Below are 20,828 nucleotides of genomic sequence, written 5' to 3'. Positions count from 1 at the left end.
AACTATTTCCTTGTCTGTTCATAGGAGTTAGAAGGCAGACACCATTACTTCCAAGGCAGTGCTTCTTCTTCTTTTTTTTTTTTTTTTTTTTTTTGAGACAGAGTCTTACTCTGTTGCCCAGGCTGGAATGCAGTGGTGCAATCTCGACTCACTGCAACTTCTGCCTCCCAGAGTAGCTGGGATTACACATGTGCGCCACCACAACCGGCTGATTTTTGTATTTTTAGTAGAGACGGAGTTTCACCATCTTGGCCAGGCTGGTCTCGAACTCCCGACCTCTGGTGATCCGCCCGCCTCAGCCTCCCAAAGTGCTGGGATTAAGGCGTGAGCCACCACGCACTGCCAGCAGTGCTTCTTAAACTTGAACAGGCATACAAAGCACTTGGGGATTTTTAAAAGACGAGATTCTGACTTAGGAGGTCTGTGGGGAGGTCGGCCTGAGATGCTGTATTTCCAACAAACCCCAAGTCATCTATCTATACTGAATAACAAGGTTCTAAGTCCCCTATTTCACTTTCAAAATTCTAGGAGGTTATGTCGTTTCTAAGTTTCTCACTCCAGCAAATAAAACACTGGTCTTCTGTCTCCTTCCTTGACCAGCACCCTCCAAAACGATCATCATACCAGCAGTCAGACTAGCCTTTCTATATATATAGAGAGAGAATAAAGCATGCCTCAGTGACCAGAGTTAAGAAATTTATATATAAATGTAAATAGGTATATTTATATTTAAGAAGTGGATGAGAGGCTGCCTGGTGGGTATCATGTGCATTGCTCCAGTAATAGATACACTCAAGGCCTTGACTTCACCACAATGCAATACATGAATGTAGCAAATTGCACTTGCAATCCGTGAATATATACAAATAAAAATAATAAAATTAAATTAAAAATCCAGATTTAAAATCCTCTCCTATTTAAAATCCTCCAGTATTGCTGGGCATGGTGGGTGGTGCATGCCTGTAGTCCCAGCTACTTGGGAGGCTGAGGTGGAAGGATGGCTTGAGCCCAAGAGGTAGAGGGTTGCAGTGAGCCAAGATTGTGCCACTGCACTCCAGCCTGTGTGACAGAGACCCTGTTTCCAAAAATAAATAAATAAATAAATAAAATAAAAATCCTCCAGTACCTTCCCACTGCCTTACGTCCAAACTCCTTTACCTAACAGGGCCTTGCATCCTTTATTATCCTTCTAGAATCCTTCCTACCACCCCATCCTCACTCTGTACTTTAAGGTCCAGTAACCCTGAACCTGCACAGATTCCCCTACCTCAGTTCCTCACCTCTTACCTAGATCAAGTTTATTTCTCCACTTGCTTCTATTAATCAGTTGGCTTAGCCAGCATTCCCAGCACAGCTGAAACACACCCATGCACTTTTTAACCAGACGACAGCTGCTCACTGGAAAGCAGGTAATCAATAAATATTTGTTAATAAGTAAGTAGAATACCAAAAGAGCAAGCCCTGTATTTTTTAAAGTTTTATTTTAGTGTTTTATTTCCTAGGATCCTTCCTGCTTTTAAAGTAGTCTAAGTTAGTGCCAACAACTGCCATTTTAAATGGCAGGTTCTCTGCACCAACAAAATGATTTAACAATCATCAAACTTTTTTTTTTTGAGATGGAGTCTCACTCTGACGCCCAGGCTGGAGTGCAGTGGCGCAATCTTGGCTCACTGCAACCTCTGCCTCCCAGGTTCAAGCAATTCTCATGCCTCAGCCTCCCGAGTAGCTGGGACTACAGGCGTGTACCACCATGCCCAGGTAATTTTTGTATTTTTATTAGAGACAGGGTTTCACCACGTTGACCAGGCTGGTCTCGAACTCCTGACCTCAGGTGATCTGCCTGCCTCGACCTCCCAAAGAGCTGGTATTACAGACATGAGACACTGAGCTTGGCCTGTCAAACTTTTAAGTCAATGCAGCAGAGAATATTAAACATTTGAAAAACATGCTTACAGGGGCCAGGCGCAGTGGCTCACGCTTATAATTCCAGGACTTTGGGAGGCCAAGGGGGGTGGATCACCTGAGGTCAGGAGTTGGAGATCAGCCTGGCCAACATGGCGAAACCCCATCTCTACAGAAAATACACAAATTAGCTGGGCGTGGTGGTGGGCGCCTATAATCCCAGCTACTCGGGAGGCTGAGGCAAGAGAATTGCTTGAACCCGGAGGCGGACGTTGCGGTGAGCTGAGATCATGCCACTGCACTCCAGCCTGGGCGACACAGTGACACTCCATCTCAACAAAAAAAAAAAAAAAAAAGAAAAAAGAAAAATGCTTACAATGCCCTTATCCTTTATTTCCCCCTTTCATTTGTTTTTCATAGCTGGGTTTCAGAGTTGATAGAAAGTTGTCAAGAGAGAAAAGGCACTAGGATCTACAAGTGGCTAAACCCCACCTGGTCTGTTTTGATTATGTGCACAAGAGGTGGAGCTATCATTAACTAAAAACTTAATGCTCTGTCACTGTCCACATTATTTTCCAGAAGGTTAAAAGAAAAAACAAACCCTGAAGTCCTTACTTGAATTGCTGTACTATATTTACTAGTAATCAACAATACTGGAATTGTCAGTGTTCATTTATATGTAGAAGTTTTCTTTAAAAGGAATACAGTCATGGAAACAACAGCCATCCTTCACATTTTAATAGTACATGGATGTTTCCAGGGAAACTTCATATAGATCATATCATTTGCTGGTCAACACAATCTTGTGAAGCAGACCTGGCAGTTATTCAAATAAGGAAAGCAGCCTAGATATTGATCTGTCTCCCTTACAGATGCCAAGTTGCTGGGATTTTTGTTTTTTAAGGTTAAATTCAATAGATTATTTATTAAGAATATAAGTGAAACTAACCTTGATGCCTTGCTGAACTATCCTTAGAGCCTACACACACTATTAGGTTTATCTCTATTTTTTCTAAACTTATATCTCTTTCTATAGTGGCTCTTGAGCCAACTGTGGGAGAACTGAGGCAGGTAACTGACCCCACCTGAGGGTCATCTGAGGCAGAAGAGGTGGCTGAGACAGATGTTCAACGGCTTCTCTAATTTAAGCAGGACAGAGTCCATTCCTGAGTAGCTAATGTTTTTCCCACTGTTTCACAATTTTGTTCTAAAAAACATATTTTCCCCCAACTCTTCATTCTTCTATAAGAAATCAGGTATAATACCTGCTCCTGTTTGGGAGCAACTTAAAGAGTCTGCTTCTCCATCCCCACCACAAAATTTTGCAAAGATTGTACAAATGATCCAATAAGGGACTATTTCTCAAATTTTAGTGTGCACCAGAACCACCTGGCAGAGTAGCTGGAAACACTTATTGGTAGGACCCACCCTAGAATTTCTTATTCAGTAGGTGAGAAGTGGAGATCTGAGATTTTACATTTCTAGCCAATTCCCAGATGATGCTGATGCTGACCTGGGGACCTCATTTTGAGAACCTCAATTTGGGAACCACAGCAATAAGGGAGTCTATAACACTGACTTCATTAATTTTGCTCTTTAGCAAATATTTAGCGGCTTGTATGTGTAAGACAGACTATTCAGACTTTGGTCTTCAGGCTCCCAGACTTCACGAAATACAGGGAAAACAAAAAGACAAAGACTGGAACTGTAACAAAAGGCAGTAATGAAAAATCACAGGTGAATGATCAAGCGCTGAAACTTCAAATCTTAAAAGGAAGGGAGTCCAAGCAGGGATGTTGACCTCCCCAACCTCCTGGAATGCCTAGAATAAGTGGCATCTGAACTGAACCTCAAAAGACTGATCCTGACACATGAAATGATTCCCTGCAGAAGAAACCAAGAGGGCAGGGTGTCAAGGGTGCCAAAATGCAGGGCAGGTTTAAGGAATCACAACTTCTGTGGGGTACAGGTGTGGCAGCAGCTGCAGCTGGGACTGGAGTCAAATCCCAGCAAAGATGAATCCCAGACATGTTTGCACGGAGCACTCTTCTCAGGGCCCTGCTGTGGGGAGACTGGGATAACTGCATGGGGACACTTTAGGAAGCCATGAAAAGAGACTAAAGCAGACGAAGCAGCAGTGAGGCTGTGCAGACCCCTTTTTCCAAGAATGAGGAGTGAGGAGAGGTGATGACATGGAACCATCATCCAGAAAGCTTTCTCAGCAGCCAGGGAGATTTTAGGCTGACTCTCCTAAGAAAAGTGCTATCTTTTCCTCAAAAGGAGTTATCTATCACCTTCCTCTTCTATATAACTAGCCTCCAAGAATCCTTTTAATGTTCTTCCTAGTAAAATATTAGATTTAAGAAAAAGTTGGTATTCCCTTGACTGTCAATATTCTTAATGCAACAAAAACCGAGAGCAGCCCATGTCCAGAAATCTGGGCAGCTCCCTTAACACATTAATCTTCCATGCCAGCAGTATGTATTCAAGTTATTTGGGCGCCATGATCCACATCTAACCCACACTTTGTGGTACTACGGGAAGAGCATCAAATTTGGAGTCAGAAAACCTGAATTCTGGAAAGCTAGCCTCATACAGATGGATAATAATCCAACGATCTATTTCTTTATCTACAAAAAGTTCGAGAATAGCTACCCTTGCCGGGTGTGGTCAGCACTTGGGGAGGCCAAGGCAGGCAGATCACAAGGTCAGGAGTTCGAGACCAGCCTGGCCAATATGGCGAAACCCCATCTCTACTAAAAATGCAAAAATTAGCCGGGCGTGGTGGCAGGTGGCTGTAATCCCAGCTACTCAGGAGACTGAGGCAGGAGAATCGCTTGAACCCGGAAGGCAGAGGTTGCAGTGAGCCGAGATCGCGCCACTGCACTCCAGCCTGAGCGACAGGGTGAGACCCCGTCTCAAAAAAAAAAAAAAAAAAAAAAAAAAAAGAATAAATTTTCTTCATGATTCAGAGGTATAAAATCAGCACTTCACTTTCTAAGAGTTAAGAAATTTAAAAAATTAAGAAATTCAACAAGACAACTCTCAATACGTAATAAACTTGGTAGTAATGCATTTCATGACCTGAAATTCTTTAATCTCTATGTCCCAAGGAAGACAGAGCACTTCATACCTCTCCTGGTGCAAACGCACTGAGCCAGAATAGCTAGAGAATGCACCTTCTCCAGAAAGATCAGATGCGGAGTGTCAGCATCTGGCTGCAAAGCAGACAGAAAAACTTCATTTTGATGCTTTTTAACTAGATCCTGTCTACATTACAACTTCACAGCCAGAGCCAATAGAATCAGTTCTCCAGGGGCAGGTTGGCAGGAGAGGGAACCAGGTTAGGGTGGGCATTTCACACTGTCATTCTTTCATTTAAAAGAAAATATATATATAAATATGAACATCTAGAAGTCTGAAAGGAGAAAGTTACAGAACACCGTGCAGCCTAAACTCAACAATGCCTGTGAACTTGGATGAGTTATTTGCCTCTATCTTATCACCTCTAAAACTTCACAGGTATGTTATAAAGACCAGACAAAATTCCATATAGAAAGCTCTGACTGGTACATGGTAAGCACTCAACAAAATCGTTTTTCCCAGTAACCCTGACAAGAAAGAAGAAACTTTATGGAATAATTGGAATGCAGGCATAGTATTTAAAAATGGTAAGCATTTCTAGGCCGGGTGCAGTGGCTCACACCTGTGATCCCAGCATTTTGGGAGGCCGAGGCAGACCAATCACTTGAGCTCATGAGTTCAAGACCAGTTTGGGCAACATGGTGAAACCCTGTCTCTACAAAACACACACACACACACACACACACACACACACACACACAAAGCAGGGTTTGGTGGCAAGTGCCTGTAGTCCCAGCTACTGGGGAGACTGAGGTGGGAGAATCACTTGAGCCTGGGAGGCAGAGGTTGCAGTGAGCCAAGATCATCACACCACTGCACTCCAGCCTGAGCAACAGAAGCAGACCTTGCCTCAAAAAAAAAAAAGAAAAAGAAAAGAAAAGTAAGCATTTCTATAGATGAAATGGAAGAGTAGGCATTTGAGGCAAAATGTAGAAGATAAGCGTGAAACCCAGGGATGGGTTTTATAAAAAGCTGTAGGCCTGCCTACCAGATTTGAATGGAATATATTAGAATAAGAAGTAAGTGGAGTGGGGCCATTTTACGGAGAATCTTTGAAGGCCAAGCTAGACTCTGGAACTTCATTTACACAATGGCACAAGCAACTGTTTCTGAGGGGGAAAGTGGCATGATGAGTGTTCTCTCATGAGGAGTTAAGCTGGCTGATGTGAAGTGGAGAGATGGTTATCATGAACCTGCACCTCTGTTACTACACAGTTCTCTAAATATGGGAGGTTGGGTTTTGCTGTATTTCAACATTCCTCTTTTATTTAACAGAGAAAAAAACATCAAATACAACTTTATACGATACATGAACTGATTCTGAGGAAAGTGATAACTTAATTTTGCAGGTGAAAATCTGAAAAAGAAAAAGAGGAAGGGGTGGGTGTGTGTGTGTTGGGTGTTGGGTGTTGGTGGTGAATGCTACAGCCATCAGAGGTTGAAGGGCTTGTCTTCTTATGCCAGGAGGCTTCGTGTGATAAAGCCATCACTCTTGTATCTCAATGAGGTTTTTTTTTTAATCACACTTATTTACTGACCCACAAATCTCTACAAACTATAAATCTCTACAAACCATAAATCTCTATAAACTATATATTTATGACTATCCTTATTTTTATTTTAAACTATATATAACTATATTTATATATAAATATATAACTCGATTTATATTTATATATAACTATATTTAAACTATAAATTTATAATATCTCTATAAATTTATAAACTATAAATCGCTATAAACCATTTTATCTAAATAGACCAGACTCATTTTAAAATTATATTCTCCTTAGCCAGAACTCCAAATCTCATTCTATGGCACACCTCCTGAAATTTTTAGGACCCAGTGTGGAAAGTAACTTGAAACCAGCCAAAATGCAGAAACAACTCCAGAAAAATCATAGCACTATCAGGCACAGACAATACATAAATAAGTTCATATCAGAGGCATTAAACCCAGTACAGGACTGGCAAGGTAGCTCACATCTGTGATCCCAACACTTTGGGAAGTGAAGGCGGGAGGATCATTTGAGGCCAGGAGTTCAACACCAGCCTGAGCAACATGGTGAGACTCTGTCTCTACAAAAAATTTAAAAATTAGCCAGACATGGTATAGTCCCAGCTACTTGGGAGGCTGAGGTGGGAGGATGGCTTGAGCCAGGACTTCAAGGCTGCTGTTGAGTCGTGATTGTGCCACTGCACTAGAGCCTGGGCAACAGCGTGAGACTCTGTCTCTTAAAACGAAAACAAAAAACCCAATACAGTTTCAGAGGAGCATTTTGCCAATATTCAGAGATTATGTGCTAGGAAAGATTATACTCAGAAGAGTAAAAAAAGGCACCCTTGCAGGAATGTACAAAATTAAATCAGCAGATAGAAATTATATGTTATCAAAAATATGTGATAATCAGAACTACAAATACCAAACAAAACACAAAACCAGGGATGGGAATTAAAGAAAGGTTTTGTGTGTGTGTGTTTAATCAAAATTCTCCTAGGATTGTTTAAAATGCAATCGGTTCATTTGTTCTGAAGGATGCTGACAAATGTGTGTAATTCTCCTGAGGTCCACCATACTTGAAAGTTAATTCACCCTTTCTCAATTCCTCAACATGGGTGGTTTTCTGCTACAGAAATACCAACACTAAACTTGTGCAACTCCTAAACCACAATATTTAAAAATAAGAAAGTCACTGGGGCTAAATTAGGAGACAAGGGTCACACTAAAAAAAATTATTTTTAAAGCTACCACACAAAACACGAAGCTTACCCCTTTCGAAGGGATTTCCTTGAGAAACAGCGTATGAGGTAAAATATCAGGGGCACATGATTTTTTTTAAATTTAAACTTTACGTTGTCCAGAGAGGACAGTTAAGACATTTCCTGTGTGTAGGCTCCACCCTTCTCGGCGAGCAGTTTTAAAACCTTCCTCAGCCCTTTCGGAATAACAGCCTTTTGTTATGGGTGGGCCTAGGGGTGCACTCCTCCCTCACACCTTCTATTTTCTCCCAGTTTTGCTTTTTTTCTGAGACTTCCAGGCTAGGCTGGCGGTGGAGTGGGCTGACGATCCCGGTGGGTGCTTTCCCCCAGGCGGGATGACACAATGAAGCTGGGAGTCCGGGCCAGGGGAAGAGGAGGAGCACGCAGTGGATTCTCCGACCCGAAAACCGTGAGGCCCCTAACAAACCTAGATAATGAACGCCCCCCCCCACCCCAACTCCTCTATTTACTACTTGCAAGCGCCCCCAGCTTAAGTTTTCAAAAAAGCAAATTTGACTGCCGAAGAGCTCAAGAGAAATGAACCAAAGAGACACAGAACCGTTCCCCAGAGCGAAGGGAGCTTCCTCTGAGCTAACTGCCAGAGGAATGTGGCACAGCCCAGCAAATGTTTAAAATCACGTCCTGTTCTGCCTCGTTTTCCAGAGAAGTGTCATTACTGTCAACTATTTCACAAGACAAATAAACCAATGAATGAAAGACATCCTCCCCCCTCTTCCCAATGAAAAACATTCTAGGGCTGAGCGGCTTCCTTCCTTCCTCCTCCTCACAGGAACCACATTTGCAGCACTGAGGAGGTTAAAATAAGAAACACACAGTCCTCGAATACTACTTTTTTACAGTGCTAGAGCCATTCCCAGCCTACTACTGACTCCAGGGGCTTCCAAACGGAAGGAGTTCTGTTTTCAGTTAGGAACCTTTTTTCATGTATAAGCTCTGAGACACTGCTGGCCAGGGCCTGCTGGCTGGGCAGGGACAGCTGAGGGGTGCAGGGGCCGCAGGGAAAACAGCACACTGGTGCACACACAGGCTTCTGCTCTCCCTAAAAATATGTTCAGTAAAATATTGGACTCATTCAATTGTCTGAGCCTTAAAAAGACTCCAAGAAACCTGTAATTGATCCAACTAATCCAACCCATAGGGTTGAAATGACAATAACCGGCTTTCATTAGAAATTATATAGCCCACTAAATAGATGGGAAGGCTCTTCCCAACACATCAGAAAAATTAAAATTAAGCTTCTGAATAAAAAACTGTAATTTACCAAAGGCTTAGGAACAAAAAGACCCCTCCCTCCTCCCCTTTGCTATTGTTCTACAGGACTGGGTCTGAGCACGGCACTTTACACCTTTAAAGCTTCCCAGAGGTAAGAGGCTGGGGGCTGGGAGCCAGAGGCGACCCGGAATCAAATACCTGCATACTAATAAGTCTATGAGCACTGATCTACTAGGAGGTAAAGTTAGCTAAAAGTAAAGAAAATGTGTGTGCAGCAGTTATCTGACAACCTAGAAAGCCAAAAAGGTGCTGGAGAGACAGGGACTCCAAATGGTAGCTCTTCTGGAGTGGAGTATGAGCAACTGCCTTCCCTAAGTCGTGAATGGGGTGCCCGCAGCCAACCACAGGGTCTGGGGCCGAGCTGTGAAGCCGCCCGTCTTCATTAGGGTCACAAATAAAGCCTCCAAGAACCCCCGTTGGCACCCAGGACAGGCCCGGCCTTTGGGAGGGGGCTTACCTTGCAGCTGCTTGAATCTGCCTTCCAGCTGGTTGTAGTTGTAAGGCACCTGCCCCGTGTACGCCGGCGACAGCGGCCCGGAGATACTAGACGTCCTCTGCAATTCCATTATGCCCGGCGTAACGCCCCGGAGGACTGCGCCCTGGAAATCTCGCTCCAGCCCCCTCCCACTCCCATCCAACACGCAGCAGCCTCCGCAGCGCTCGGCTCCTTAGGCGAGCCCCATTCCGGTCTGCAAGTCCAGCAGGGTGATCTGATGGGAAGTTGGCTGCAAGAGAGTCCACCTTAGCTCCGCGAGGAGTTACCACACAGGCATCTAATTTCTTGCTTTCCCTTCTTCCGTGGCCCTTGCCTGGAAGCTCGAAATAAATTACTGAGGAGGAGGGAGAAGCAGAGAGGAGGCGCAGGTTCTACTTCAGAACTTTTAAATATGGCCAATCCTAAGCATGCCACGGTTGCCGAGCCCGGGAGCTCGCGGGCGCAGCGCGCACACCTCCTCCCAGCTGCCCGCGGCGGCCGCCGGTTTGTAATTTTATCAGGAGCCACTCGCCGTGTGCTGGGCGGTGATGTCACCTGATTAGCATAACAGCATTGTATTAGAAATGCAGGCTATACCACGAGGAGGGGCGCGGGGGAGCCTAGCCGGCCCGCGACCCCCTACCGGTCCCGCACGGTCCGCGGTCGCCCCAGCCGCCCGGCAGCCGCCGACCCCCGGCCGGGCCCTGGACTCGCCGCGGTAGTGCCTTCCCAAACAGAGCTGCTGGAATTACAATCTTTTGTTGAGCCTCATGTAACGGAAAAGTCTCCGATTACTATCACTTGAAAAGGCTAGCGCGCCCACGGGACGGCCTGGAGAGTGAAGAGCCCCAAGGGTCCCGGGCCCGCGCGGCTCATTCACTCTCTAGCGTCTGCTGAGGTAACGCGGCCCGCACCTGGGCGCGCGCGACTGCCCCAGTGCGCTGGCGCCAACCACGCGGCGGCGGCCCGGCGAGCCACCGGGAAGAAGTCAGACAAAGTCACTCTCAGGGCGCTGTGCAGCGCCACAGCCAGGGGAGGTGTAAGTTCGGGCTCAGTGAAGAATCTCGGCTGACTTACGCTGCCATCAGGGGATATGAAGGCGGTGGTTTCCTGGAATAACACGGGCCTATGATAGGAATTCGACGCAAGGAAGATTTATGGGAGCACCGATTTGCAAGGCATTGTGGGAAAAAGGTACACAGGTAAACACCGCCGAGATCCCTGACCTGGAGTTGTTTATGATCCGGAGGGGAGATGAGGGAACCGAAACTACCCTCAAATTCCTACTCTGATTTGTAAAACAAGGCCTCTAAACTTGTGGTTCTCCAAAATTTTAAATCTCTCCTTCCCAGCTTCTTCTCCCACCAATCTCAACCAAAAATGAAATCTTCCACATAGAAAAGAGAATGATCAAAATGTATTCTTGGGAAATTGACTCTAGATCTCCCCCCTCTCTCTCCACCCTCCTGTCCCCCCTTTTTCCTCACTACCTAAACAGGCAGACAACAAATTACACTTTTGGCATTTCCAGTTTGGAGCCCTACAGCAATACTCACTGAAGAAGGTAATTTCATTCCTCAGGGATCCCAATATGTAGTAAAGACGTGGTCCCCCACCCCAGGTTCACCTCAGTCCCCAGGGCACTTGTAATTGAAGTAACTGCATCCTGTCCAGGCTTAGAATTAAACCCAGAGCCTAGCTAACTGCTCAACGCTGAACAACCCCCAACTCCTTCCAGCCACATAACTAGGTTTTTAATACTTCCACATGTCAACCTTTGGCTTTTGAAAGCCAGGCCCAACCTGAAGAAGACAACATTTCTTATCATCTAAGATGTAGAACATTTTTTAAAGCCCCTAAGTGCTGCCAATTCACAATGCTGATGGGAGGCTAGGCAGAGCATTACAAAACACTTGGTCTTGGAAAAAGCACTTGACTAGGATTCCCAAGACCTGAGTTGCTAGTCCTGGCCAAGCCTCTTAATTACCCTATGACCTTAGAAGAAACCCTGGATTCTTTCTAAACCTCAGCTGTCAGACTGAGTAATAATTAATGCCCACCTCCACAGGGTCACTGAGGAGATGATGTGGAAATGTTCTAAAAATTATCATACTTTCAAAATTAAGAGTATATTCTTCAAAATGCACCCCTCCTTTCATCACCCCCCGCCCACACACACAAACACACACACACACACCACATCAAGACTACAAGAGAAGTTGAATTGGGAACCGTCTCAATGAAGATCTTTTTAACAAGCCCTTTTTCACAACTAAGTATACTGGTGAAATGATAAGTCTCTAAGTGTCCAGCTATGGCACTGAAAATGAGATTACAAAGTGCTTTGCCAACTTATAACGTTTTAATCATTGGGCCACTTAATGAAGAAAGGGAGTCACCACTCAGTATCTCCCTTTCAGCTCCCTCTAGTATGGGTTAGTACATGAAATAATTTTTAATTAACCAGGTTGCACATAATATGATGGCAGTAGAGCTGGGACGAACGTAGCCACACTCAATCCTGTGAAGCCAACACTGAATGAACCAGGCAGAGTGAACACATGCAAGTATTAGAAAGGTTTGGACACTGGGGAAGGGTTTAATAACCCCACGGGGATAAGAAGTAAGAAATGGGAATCCATTTGGTGTGATGGGACCAGGGAAGAATAAGACAGATCCCTGATGGCCCATCTGACCACCTCCAGTTCAGAAGTGGGGAGGAGGTAAAGGAAGGCCAGAGGTATTCATTCTTTATTTCTTCAGTGTTTACTGTTCTGTATTTACAGTATTTAATGTGTGCAAGGCACACTGCCAGGTGTTTTAGAAGATTCAGAAGTGACCAGGAGTGTTGCTAGCCAAAGGAAATGGGACAAATGTGCAAACAGTAAAGTACCAAAAGAATATAGTAAGGGCCAGGGGAGGACAGCTCTAAGAATTCAGAGGACAAGGAGGACACATCTGCCTTTTGGAGAAAGGTAGGTGGGAAGAACTCTAGGAGGGACTGGCATTTTGATCAAACCTTGAAACACAGGTAGACATCAACAGGCTGGAACAAGGGAGAAGCCTCCTCTCAAGCAGCACAGTAAAAGCATGGATGCCCAGGAAACAGCACCAGCAAGTGCTGCAGTTTGGCTGGAGGATAAGGAACCGTCAGGCTGGGAGGAAAGCCCCGAAAAGCAAGTTAGAACTAAGCCTGGTCTGGAGCCACTGGAGACTTTTGAGCCAGGGGAGTAGAGGGTGTGGGCTGGACTCTAGAGATGATTAATCTGGAAGTGGTATGTAAGAATGGGCAGAAAGGAGAGGAAATGAAGGCAGCAAGGTCAACTGGGTGGTTAGTGCAACAGTCCAGGTCAAAGGAGCAATCAAATGAAAAAGAATGGGCTGACGTAAAAATTAATCCAAAGGACTTTGGTAACTAACTGTATGTGGGAGGATCAAAGGAAAGGGACAAAGAAGACTCTCAGGGTTTTACATCTGGCTAGAGGGGTGCAGGGGACAAGTGCACATTTCCTTCTAGACAGGTGGAATCTGAGTTACCTGCAATACCACTGGGTGACATGTCTGGAGCAGTCAGGGATGTGGAACTAGAGCTCAAAACTGAAGATACAGTCCTGAGTGCAGAGGTGGGAGTTGAGATAGTTGTGGGGTTAAATCTAGGAAAGGAAGTAAGAGGCAAGGGGCTAAGCATGGAGCCCTGGGGAAGGCCTGGGTTTGGGAGAAAGAAGAAAAACCAGTGGAGATGCCAGGGAGTTGCAGAATGAAAATCTAAGGAGAGAGACTCAAAGAGGAAAGAGGGTAGATGGTCTTAAGTGTTGCAAAACAAACAAACTAAAAAATAAAACTTAGAGAAAAGGCATGTGGTGTGCCAATTAGCAGGTCAACTGGGTTAATAAAAGCAAAAGCTGGGTTACAGGGAGTTAGAAAATAACGAGAAAGGAGGAGGAGGAGGACGAAGAAGAAGCTATGAAGATGAGACTAGTGAATGAGGGTTATCAGACTCAGGGGAAGATGTTCCAAGGCAGGGCCCAACTGAGTATGTCCTCTGTGCACAGGTTTCAGCCCTAAGTTGGCATAGGTAGGAAAAGGCCAGTGGGAAGATGGCTCAAAGATATGGATGGAACAGATCAAAAGTGCTGTGGGCTGGTGGAAAGACTCAAGTCCAGAGTCAGGGACTCAGGCTTACCCTAATTTCTGAGTACCAAGGAGCTATGTAATCTTGAGCATGTTTCTGATGTTCTCTGGGCCTCTCAATCTTCGTCTATAAACCAAACAGTTTGGAATCTATGGTCATAAAAAATTCCTTCTGGAATGTTTAGTATTAAATGTATTAGTGATTTGGGTTCACCCTGCTTAGGTCCCACTTCTAACTGCAGTCCCAGTTATCATCAATCTCCACTTAAACTGAATGGCCGTAATAACCAGAACCATCACACTTGGTAGCTTACAGAATGCTTCCACATATATTTTCTCAAGTGACTAACCCTGTGAGGCAGGTATGGTCACCATTTTGCAACCAAGGTAGCTGAGGTTCACAGAAATACAGTGCCTTGCCCAGGGCCCCAGCTGGTGAGTGGCACAACCAACACATGGACCCCAGATCCACCAAGTCAGCGTGCTCCCCATCTCCCCACCTCTGCTGTTTCTCCCATATGCTCAGAGTATATCCAGCTTACTATGGGTTTCTAAGCTTTTCTGAAAAATCACAGAACTCAGTAAGTGGTATCAAGATTAACCTAAAACCCAAGCAGGCCTCTACACGAACCTCTACAACATTTAGTTTTGAGTCAGGATTAGGCACATGCTCTGCTAGTTCACCTAGAGCTTGCTGCTTGAAGTGTTCTGTGGTTCTGAGTGGGTTTTATTAGGTCTTGTTTGGTTTTGTTCCTCTTCTCATACTTGGTGGACCTGTACACTAAGATTCTGTATGACTTAGCATGTGGCAAGGTAAGATTAAGCCTCTGTTTGTTCTAAGAGGCTTTACACAGTCTTGAGGGGAAAGAAAGATGAATGCTTTTCCTGCATTACAGCAAGCTTGAGTGGGTAAACTTTAGATGTTCATTTCCTGAACATCCAGACACTATCAAGACTCAGTGTGTCTGGGAGAGGATGTCCAAAATGACAAAATGTGATGGGATTTGTACACATTCAACCTTGGGATTTGAAAAACCAATCCGAGAGCTGGGAAAGAAGTGATGGGAACAGGGAGGGACAGAAAACAAAGTTTCATATAGGATTGTGTTTTGTCAAATTCTCTGCTGCTTTCTACTGCCATCTCCACATCTGTCTTTCATTCTTCATCGGTGTCAAGTCCCTTGGCATTGGATGACCACAGCCAATTTCTCCTAAGCATTTCTTTACAGGAAACCAAAATAATGCTAAAATAATCCTCTTCCATTAGCGTGGCCAGATAGAGAAGCGGCTCCAAACCATGCCACTGCATTTATGCTGCACTAAGCACTGGTTTATATTATGTTTCTATCTCATCTCTCTAGTTCTCTTTCTGTCTTACCTCTCTGGCCCACCCACTCCCTTCCTAGGAACCTCTTGCCCACCTCTCCCACTCTTGAATCCTTAACTGAGATCATTCTTTTCTTTCCACTAACTCCCAAAGAGCCTCCCACTCCCTAACTACTAGTTGCCACCTTCTTTTCTCCCTAAAACCTGCCTCTGTTAAAAACCTAGTCCTTTTTCAATGGAAATTTCCCCACTAACCAGAAAACTCAACCAACTAACCAAGCATACCACAATGAAATCCAGCAAAAAAGAAAAGACAGAAGAAATTATATGAAGCCTCCTTTTCCCCCCAAAAGAACAATTTTCAAAAGCCCTACTGGCATAGCACATTTGACACTGGTATTTCTATGCCATTGCTACCTGCCTGCCACCTCTTTAGAACATCTCCTTTCTCCCCAGTGGCACCTCCCACTCAAGGCCCATGGCCTGGGCAGCTAGAAGCAGTCAGGAGCACTTCCCCTCCCCTCACGACTCACACTACTCTTAGAAAACCATGGGTGAGACCACTTCTCAACTTACAGAGTACCGCCCATGTAAGCATTTGAATCAGGGCTTGGACATGTGAAGCTACAGGAGAAAAAGTGGTTAAAAGCAGACCTGGGGCCAGGTGTGGTGGCTCACGCCTGTAATCCCAGCACTTTGGGAGGCCAAGGCAGGTGGATCACGAGGTCAGGAGGTGGAGACCAGCCTGACCAACATGGTGAAACCCAGTCTCTATTGAAAATACAAAAATGAGCCAGGTGTGGTGGTGGGCGCCTGTAATCCCAGCTACTCAGGAGGCTGAGGCAGGAGAATCGCTTGAATCTGGGAGGTTGAGGTTGCAGTGAGCTGAGATCGCGCCACTGCACTCCAGCCTGGGTGACAGCGAGACTCCATCTCAAAAAAAAAAAGAAAAAAGCAGACCTGGGACCTAAGAAGCTGGCTCTGCCAATTTTTAACCTTGGTTCTCTGTGCCTAAAAAGTTGGCATAATAATGGGACCAACCTCACAGAGGTTGAGATAATTTATAAATTATCTCAATTAATTTATAAATTAAGTGAGATACATGTCTACAAAGATACTATTATAGTACAGTCCTCGTGGCTATAATTGCTAGGCTTTATCTCCTCATAGGAGAAATTTCAAAAATTAATTCTATCCCACTTTTGGCCATCTCTTACTTCACCAAGGAAGCTATCAGCTGCACGATGTTGCGTTTCATGTGGAATCACAGAACTTAGGCTGGGAACAAGGGTGACCACTCCTCTGGATTTTTGGCAAAGGGCATTTCTCAGTGGCAGGACCAGTCCTCCCTCTGGGATGTACTGATACCCCTCCCTTCCCTTCTCTTTAACTCAGCCCATTATGCACTGGGAAAGGCATACTCAGAATCACATTTTATAGCAGTGACACCTCAGAGATAACCAGAACACAATACTTACTATGAAACAAGTTACAGAAGTCCTATATTTTAGAAAAGCCAATGTTTATTTGAGGTGGGGCTGTCAGATTTGATAGTTCAGGACTCAAAATAACAAGAAAAAAAAAGAGAGGACAAAAGATATTTTTCTATCCATAGGAATTATTATCTCTGTTCCATGAAAGATATGGATGGTTCTTTCTCCCTCTCTTTACACCTTCCCCCCATTCCCCCCACACCCATAAAACCATCTAAGTATACAGCCGAATCTGAAATAACAGGGCAAAGCTGGTTTCCATTTATATCCTTTTCCTGTTTCTTGCCTAACTGGTCATATCAGACCTGAATACAAAACACCTGAGATCACTGCTGAGGAGAAAAACGGCAAGTTACACTGGAAACAAGCACCCAAGGTCCTGGGGAATGAATGTAGTTTATTGAATCTTCTACCCCAGCCAAACCTTATCCCTGCATTCTTACCGTGTCTGTTATCTACACATGCAAAGCTTCCCTGCACAGACAAAAGAATGCCCCGGTCCAGAGGCCCTGGCTTTGCCAAACAGGTGGTGCTATGCCTGTGAATGTAACAGCAGCCAGAGCCAGGGCTGGGCTCCTCTGTTGCAGGTAGAGTGGTTAAAAGGAAAAGAACATCTGAGGAATGCAGTTGAGGCCAGGCCTGCTCTTGCCCAGAGTTCTTGGTTCTGCTTTTCACCTCCAACATGGAGGGGAACAGCTGACACACACAGGTGTTCAGAGCCATCCAGGCCAGAGTTTTACAAGAGTGATATGGGGCAGTGAGAAGATACTGTTCCCTGGGTAGCAGAGCTCATGAGAAAGAAATGGGTAAGGAATAAATACAAATCTATTCTTTGTGAAAATAGGCCTCTGGGTCCTGCCCTCAAGTATATTCACACCCATATTACCTTTTCCAGGAGCTGTGAAAAGAAAATGTGAAAAGGGCAGGTAGGGCAGGCACTTGGAGAGGGTAGGAGAAAAGAGAAAGGTGAGGGACATGCAAATCTCATCGTCAAGACATACTCCTCCCCTACAGAGAGCCCAAGTCAACTCATCTGACACGTTCTCAGCCCCATCCATGGGCATAGGCTATTGGAGGGACCCATGACATGGTGAGAACTGATTTCTTCTCTGCAGGGACTTTCAACCTAGCTGAGGAAATCAGACACACTAGGACACATGCATACACAAACACAAGGGTGTAATATGTAACAAATGACAGGTTAGTGACAGTAACAGCTATTGATAGTTACAGTAAGTACCATTCTAAATTAAGCAACAACTACATTTCTCTACTTGGCTGAGAAAATATCAGAGCAGGATTTCTTCCACACAAACACTCTCTGTTCCTATTCGGTCTTATCTATGCAATTTTAATGTTGCTTCTAACCAAATCCCTGCTGACATGTGCCATTCTAACATGAGAGTGTAGGTAATATAGTTGGGGGTGTGGGGTGTGTTTCTTGCTCTTTGAAAAACAGGTACCGATTACCCAGTTGCAGAGATATGGAACAACATGTGCAGCCCTGGTGTGTTAAAATGTGAAATATTTTAAGGGTGCAGTCATTTCTTCCTCCTCAGCACCTGAGCTTCTGCTGATCTCTCACTGAGATAGCACAGCCTCCCTGCCATAGGACTTTGCTAGGCAGCCACTCGCTGGGCACAGCCCCTGAATAATTCATGGACAGCCCAGTCACTCAGGAGCGCCAAGGCCTGCCAGCTGCCTCGTAAGTAGGAGGCAGGCTCCAGATTACTGTAAAATAAATACTATAGCTACCTCTGAGACCTTCTTTACAGACACCATAAAACACCCTTCCCTCTTTGCTTTATCTCCCCATTTTAAACCAGGTAATTTCTGGCAGGATCAAAGTACACCTGACTTTTACTGTAAGGAAGATAAGTCCCAAGGGGTAGGGAGAAAGTGATGTCCTCAAACAAGTGCATGACCAGGATGGCATTCCCATGCTCAGGCTACTGAGATGGCATGGGCAAAGACCAGATACTGTGCCCAACACAAGACAGATCCTCAATAAATGTCTGTCCCCATCTCTTCCTCCTAACTGTCCCCTCTGCTACACCCAAACTGATCAGTGCCCCACCTGTCTTGGGCTTTCCATGCCTCTGCTCTTGGCCCTCCCCTCACCTTTTAGTCCCAAGTCCATTCATCCTTCAAGCCCAGCTCAAAGCCTTCCCTTCTCTAGGAAGGCTTCCCAGATTACCCAGCTGGGATGATGGCTCCTTCTTAGAAACTCTACACCAGCACTGTCAGCCTCCGTCGTCCAGCACATATCATACACTCTATGAGAGCATTGCTTATCTCTTCTTGTGTACCAGTCTTATCTGCTTAATTAAAATAATGGAAAGTACACCAGACACAGACTCAAGAGAAGTGAAGGGCACACTCCATTCTCAGCTTTTAACACTGACTGGCTATGTGACCATGAGCCATTCACTTGGCTTTTCCAATGTTTTCCCTAAAACCAAAGGATCCGAAATAGAAAATCTCTGAAAATTGGTATATACATACAACAGAATCTTACTTAAAAGCAAGGAAATCCTGTCATATGCTGCAGCATGGAGGACATAATGCTCTTGGAAAATATTATAAACTGTTTTAGGACAGATACAAGTCTTTTTTTTTTTTTTTTTTTTGAGACAGAGTTTCACTCTTATTGCCCAGGCTGGAGTGCAATGGCACAATCTCGGCTCACTGCAACCTCTGCTTCCAGGGTTCAAGCGATTCTCTTGCCTCAGCTTTCCGAGTAGCTGGGATTACAGGCGCGCACCACCACACCAGCTAATTTTGGTACTTTTAGTACAGATGGGGTTTCACCACATTGGCCAGGCTTCTGACCTCAAGTGATCTACCCTTCTTGGCCTCCCAAAGTGCTGGGATTACAGGCGTGAGCCACCGTGCCCAGCCAAATGCAAGTCTTACAGAACCTTCACCCTATACCCCCAGCCCAGTATCTTTAAGGAACAGTTAAAAATGATTTAGCCATTTTTGAAAGCTGAACACTGATGAAAACAAGGACTCTGTGAGGGAGGTGGCACCATATGGTGACTCAGAGAGCCTATGCCAGCCTAGGTAACACCCCCTCATGCATACCTTAATCTTTCACAGTCAGAAGATGATAGCTGAAAGTCCTAACAGGTGTCAGAAGTTCCTTTTAAAAATTCCTCTATCTAAGCCAACCCATCTCATTTATAGTAAGAAAAATGAGAAATGAGGCACAGAGCCGTGTGCCCAGAGTTACAAAGCAAGCTACCGGCATGCTGGAGATTAGAAAGCAGGCCTTCTGAATTCCTGCTGCCATTTCTAGAGCAAACCTGAAGGAAGAGGAAGCTAAGCACAAAGGAAGTAGCGTGCATTTCTCATGCCAGTCAATGAAGTGGGCCCAGGGCTTGGAATCAGGGAAAACTCACCTTAATGTCCTTTCCCCACTGCCTTCCAGCATCCACCACAAAGGTGGAGCCAAAAGGCCTGTCCTGAGTGCTAGATGAGTGATATCTGTTTATGTTCTCTGATGTCCAACTTGCACCAGCTCAGAGAGAATGACAGCCCAGGATGCGGTACAAGCACAGCTTCCATGTCATCTTTCCAGCCCAGTGTAGAACCATACACAAAGTTGGCCTCAGCAAACTTTGTTGTTTAAAAATCCTTTTTCTCAGTTTTATACATTGATCTTTCCTTTATTATTCTTATGGTGTCCTGAGGAATAGCCTACTCAGGAGGCACTTAAAAAAATACCTGACAAATGGATTTATTCATCACAACCAGAATTATTTTATTTATTCTGAGATGGAGCCTCGCTCTGTTGCCCTGGCTGGAGTGCAGTGGCATGATCTTGGCTCACTGCAAGCTCCACCTCCTGGGTTCATGCCATTCTCCTGCCTCAGCCTCCCAAGTAGCTGGAACTATAGGCACCCGCCACCACGCCTGGCTAATTTTTTGTATTTTTAGTAGAGACGGGGTTTCACCGTGTTAGCCAGGATGGTCTCGATCTCCTGACCTCGTGATCTGCCCGCCTTGGCCTCCCAAATGCTGGGATTACAGGTGTGAGCCACCACGCCTGGCCACAACTAGAATTTTAATGACAGGTGAAGAATGAAGAGAAAGAAGAGAAAGACTAAGCTCTTTTCTAATACCTGCCAAGCTCACCTATAACTACCTCTCCACTCACCTCTTTTCATTACTATTTTTATCACCGATACCTTAATCACCATTACCCTTTTAATTACCATCTACCAAGAAAAACACAATTTGAGACCACGTTGGTGCCTTTTTTCCATTATATCGTATTTTGAATAACATTCTAAAAGCTT

General features: G+C 44.9%; 1 protein-coding gene and 1 long non-coding RNA gene across 14 annotated transcripts in view, besides 2 other annotated features; one reads left to right on the top strand and one right to left on the bottom strand.

Moving 5' to 3' along the window:
* The window catches only part of SPTBN1 (spectrin beta, non-erythrocytic 1), a 215,120-nt gene that overhangs the window by 103,003 nt on the left and 91,289 nt on the right, over positions 1 to 20,828 (bottom strand). For 2 of the 13 annotated variants that reach the window (XM_005264518.3, NM_178313.3), the window contains exon 1: positions 9,557 to 10,061. The exons of the other annotated variants lie outside the window; for them this stretch is intronic. In XM_005264518.3, the coding sequence (XP_005264575.1) occupies positions 9,557 to 9,665 (109 nt within the window). In that variant the 5' untranslated portion in view covers positions 9,666 to 10,061. Of the gene's footprint in view, positions 1 to 9,556; positions 10,062 to 20,828 lie in introns of those variants that run through there. 13 annotated transcript variants of the gene reach the window in all.
* Positions 8,031 to 8,200: an enhancer, noted in NCBI's record as "active region_15760". NCBI's record gives its function as "activates an Ori minimal core promoter by ATAC-STARR-seq in GM12878 lymphoblastoid cells {active_cell/tissue: GM12878}" and the evidence as "EXISTENCE:reporter gene assay evidence [ECO:0000049][PMID:35858748]".
* The window catches only part of SPTBN1-AS1 (SPTBN1 antisense RNA 1), a 39,389-nt gene continuing 28,299 nt past the window's right edge, over positions 9,739 to 20,828 (top strand). Inside the window, exon 1 of the long non-coding RNA NR_185881.1 lies at positions 9,739 to 10,776. This is a non-coding gene — a long non-coding RNA (SPTBN1 antisense RNA 1). The remainder of the gene's footprint in view (positions 10,777 to 20,828) is intronic.
* Positions 10,202 to 10,341: a silencer, noted in NCBI's record as "silent region_11487". NCBI's record gives its function as "represses an Ori minimal core promoter by ATAC-STARR-seq in GM12878 lymphoblastoid cells {active_cell/tissue: GM12878}" and the evidence as "EXISTENCE:reporter gene assay evidence [ECO:0000049][PMID:35858748]".

The sequence above is a fragment of the Homo sapiens genome, chromosome 2, assembly GCF_000001405.40.
Source record: "Homo sapiens chromosome 2, GRCh38.p14 Primary Assembly".
Taxonomy (NCBI): domain Eukaryota; kingdom Metazoa; phylum Chordata; class Mammalia; order Primates; family Hominidae; genus Homo; species Homo sapiens.
This window is presented reverse-complemented; position numbering and strand designations above follow the sequence as displayed.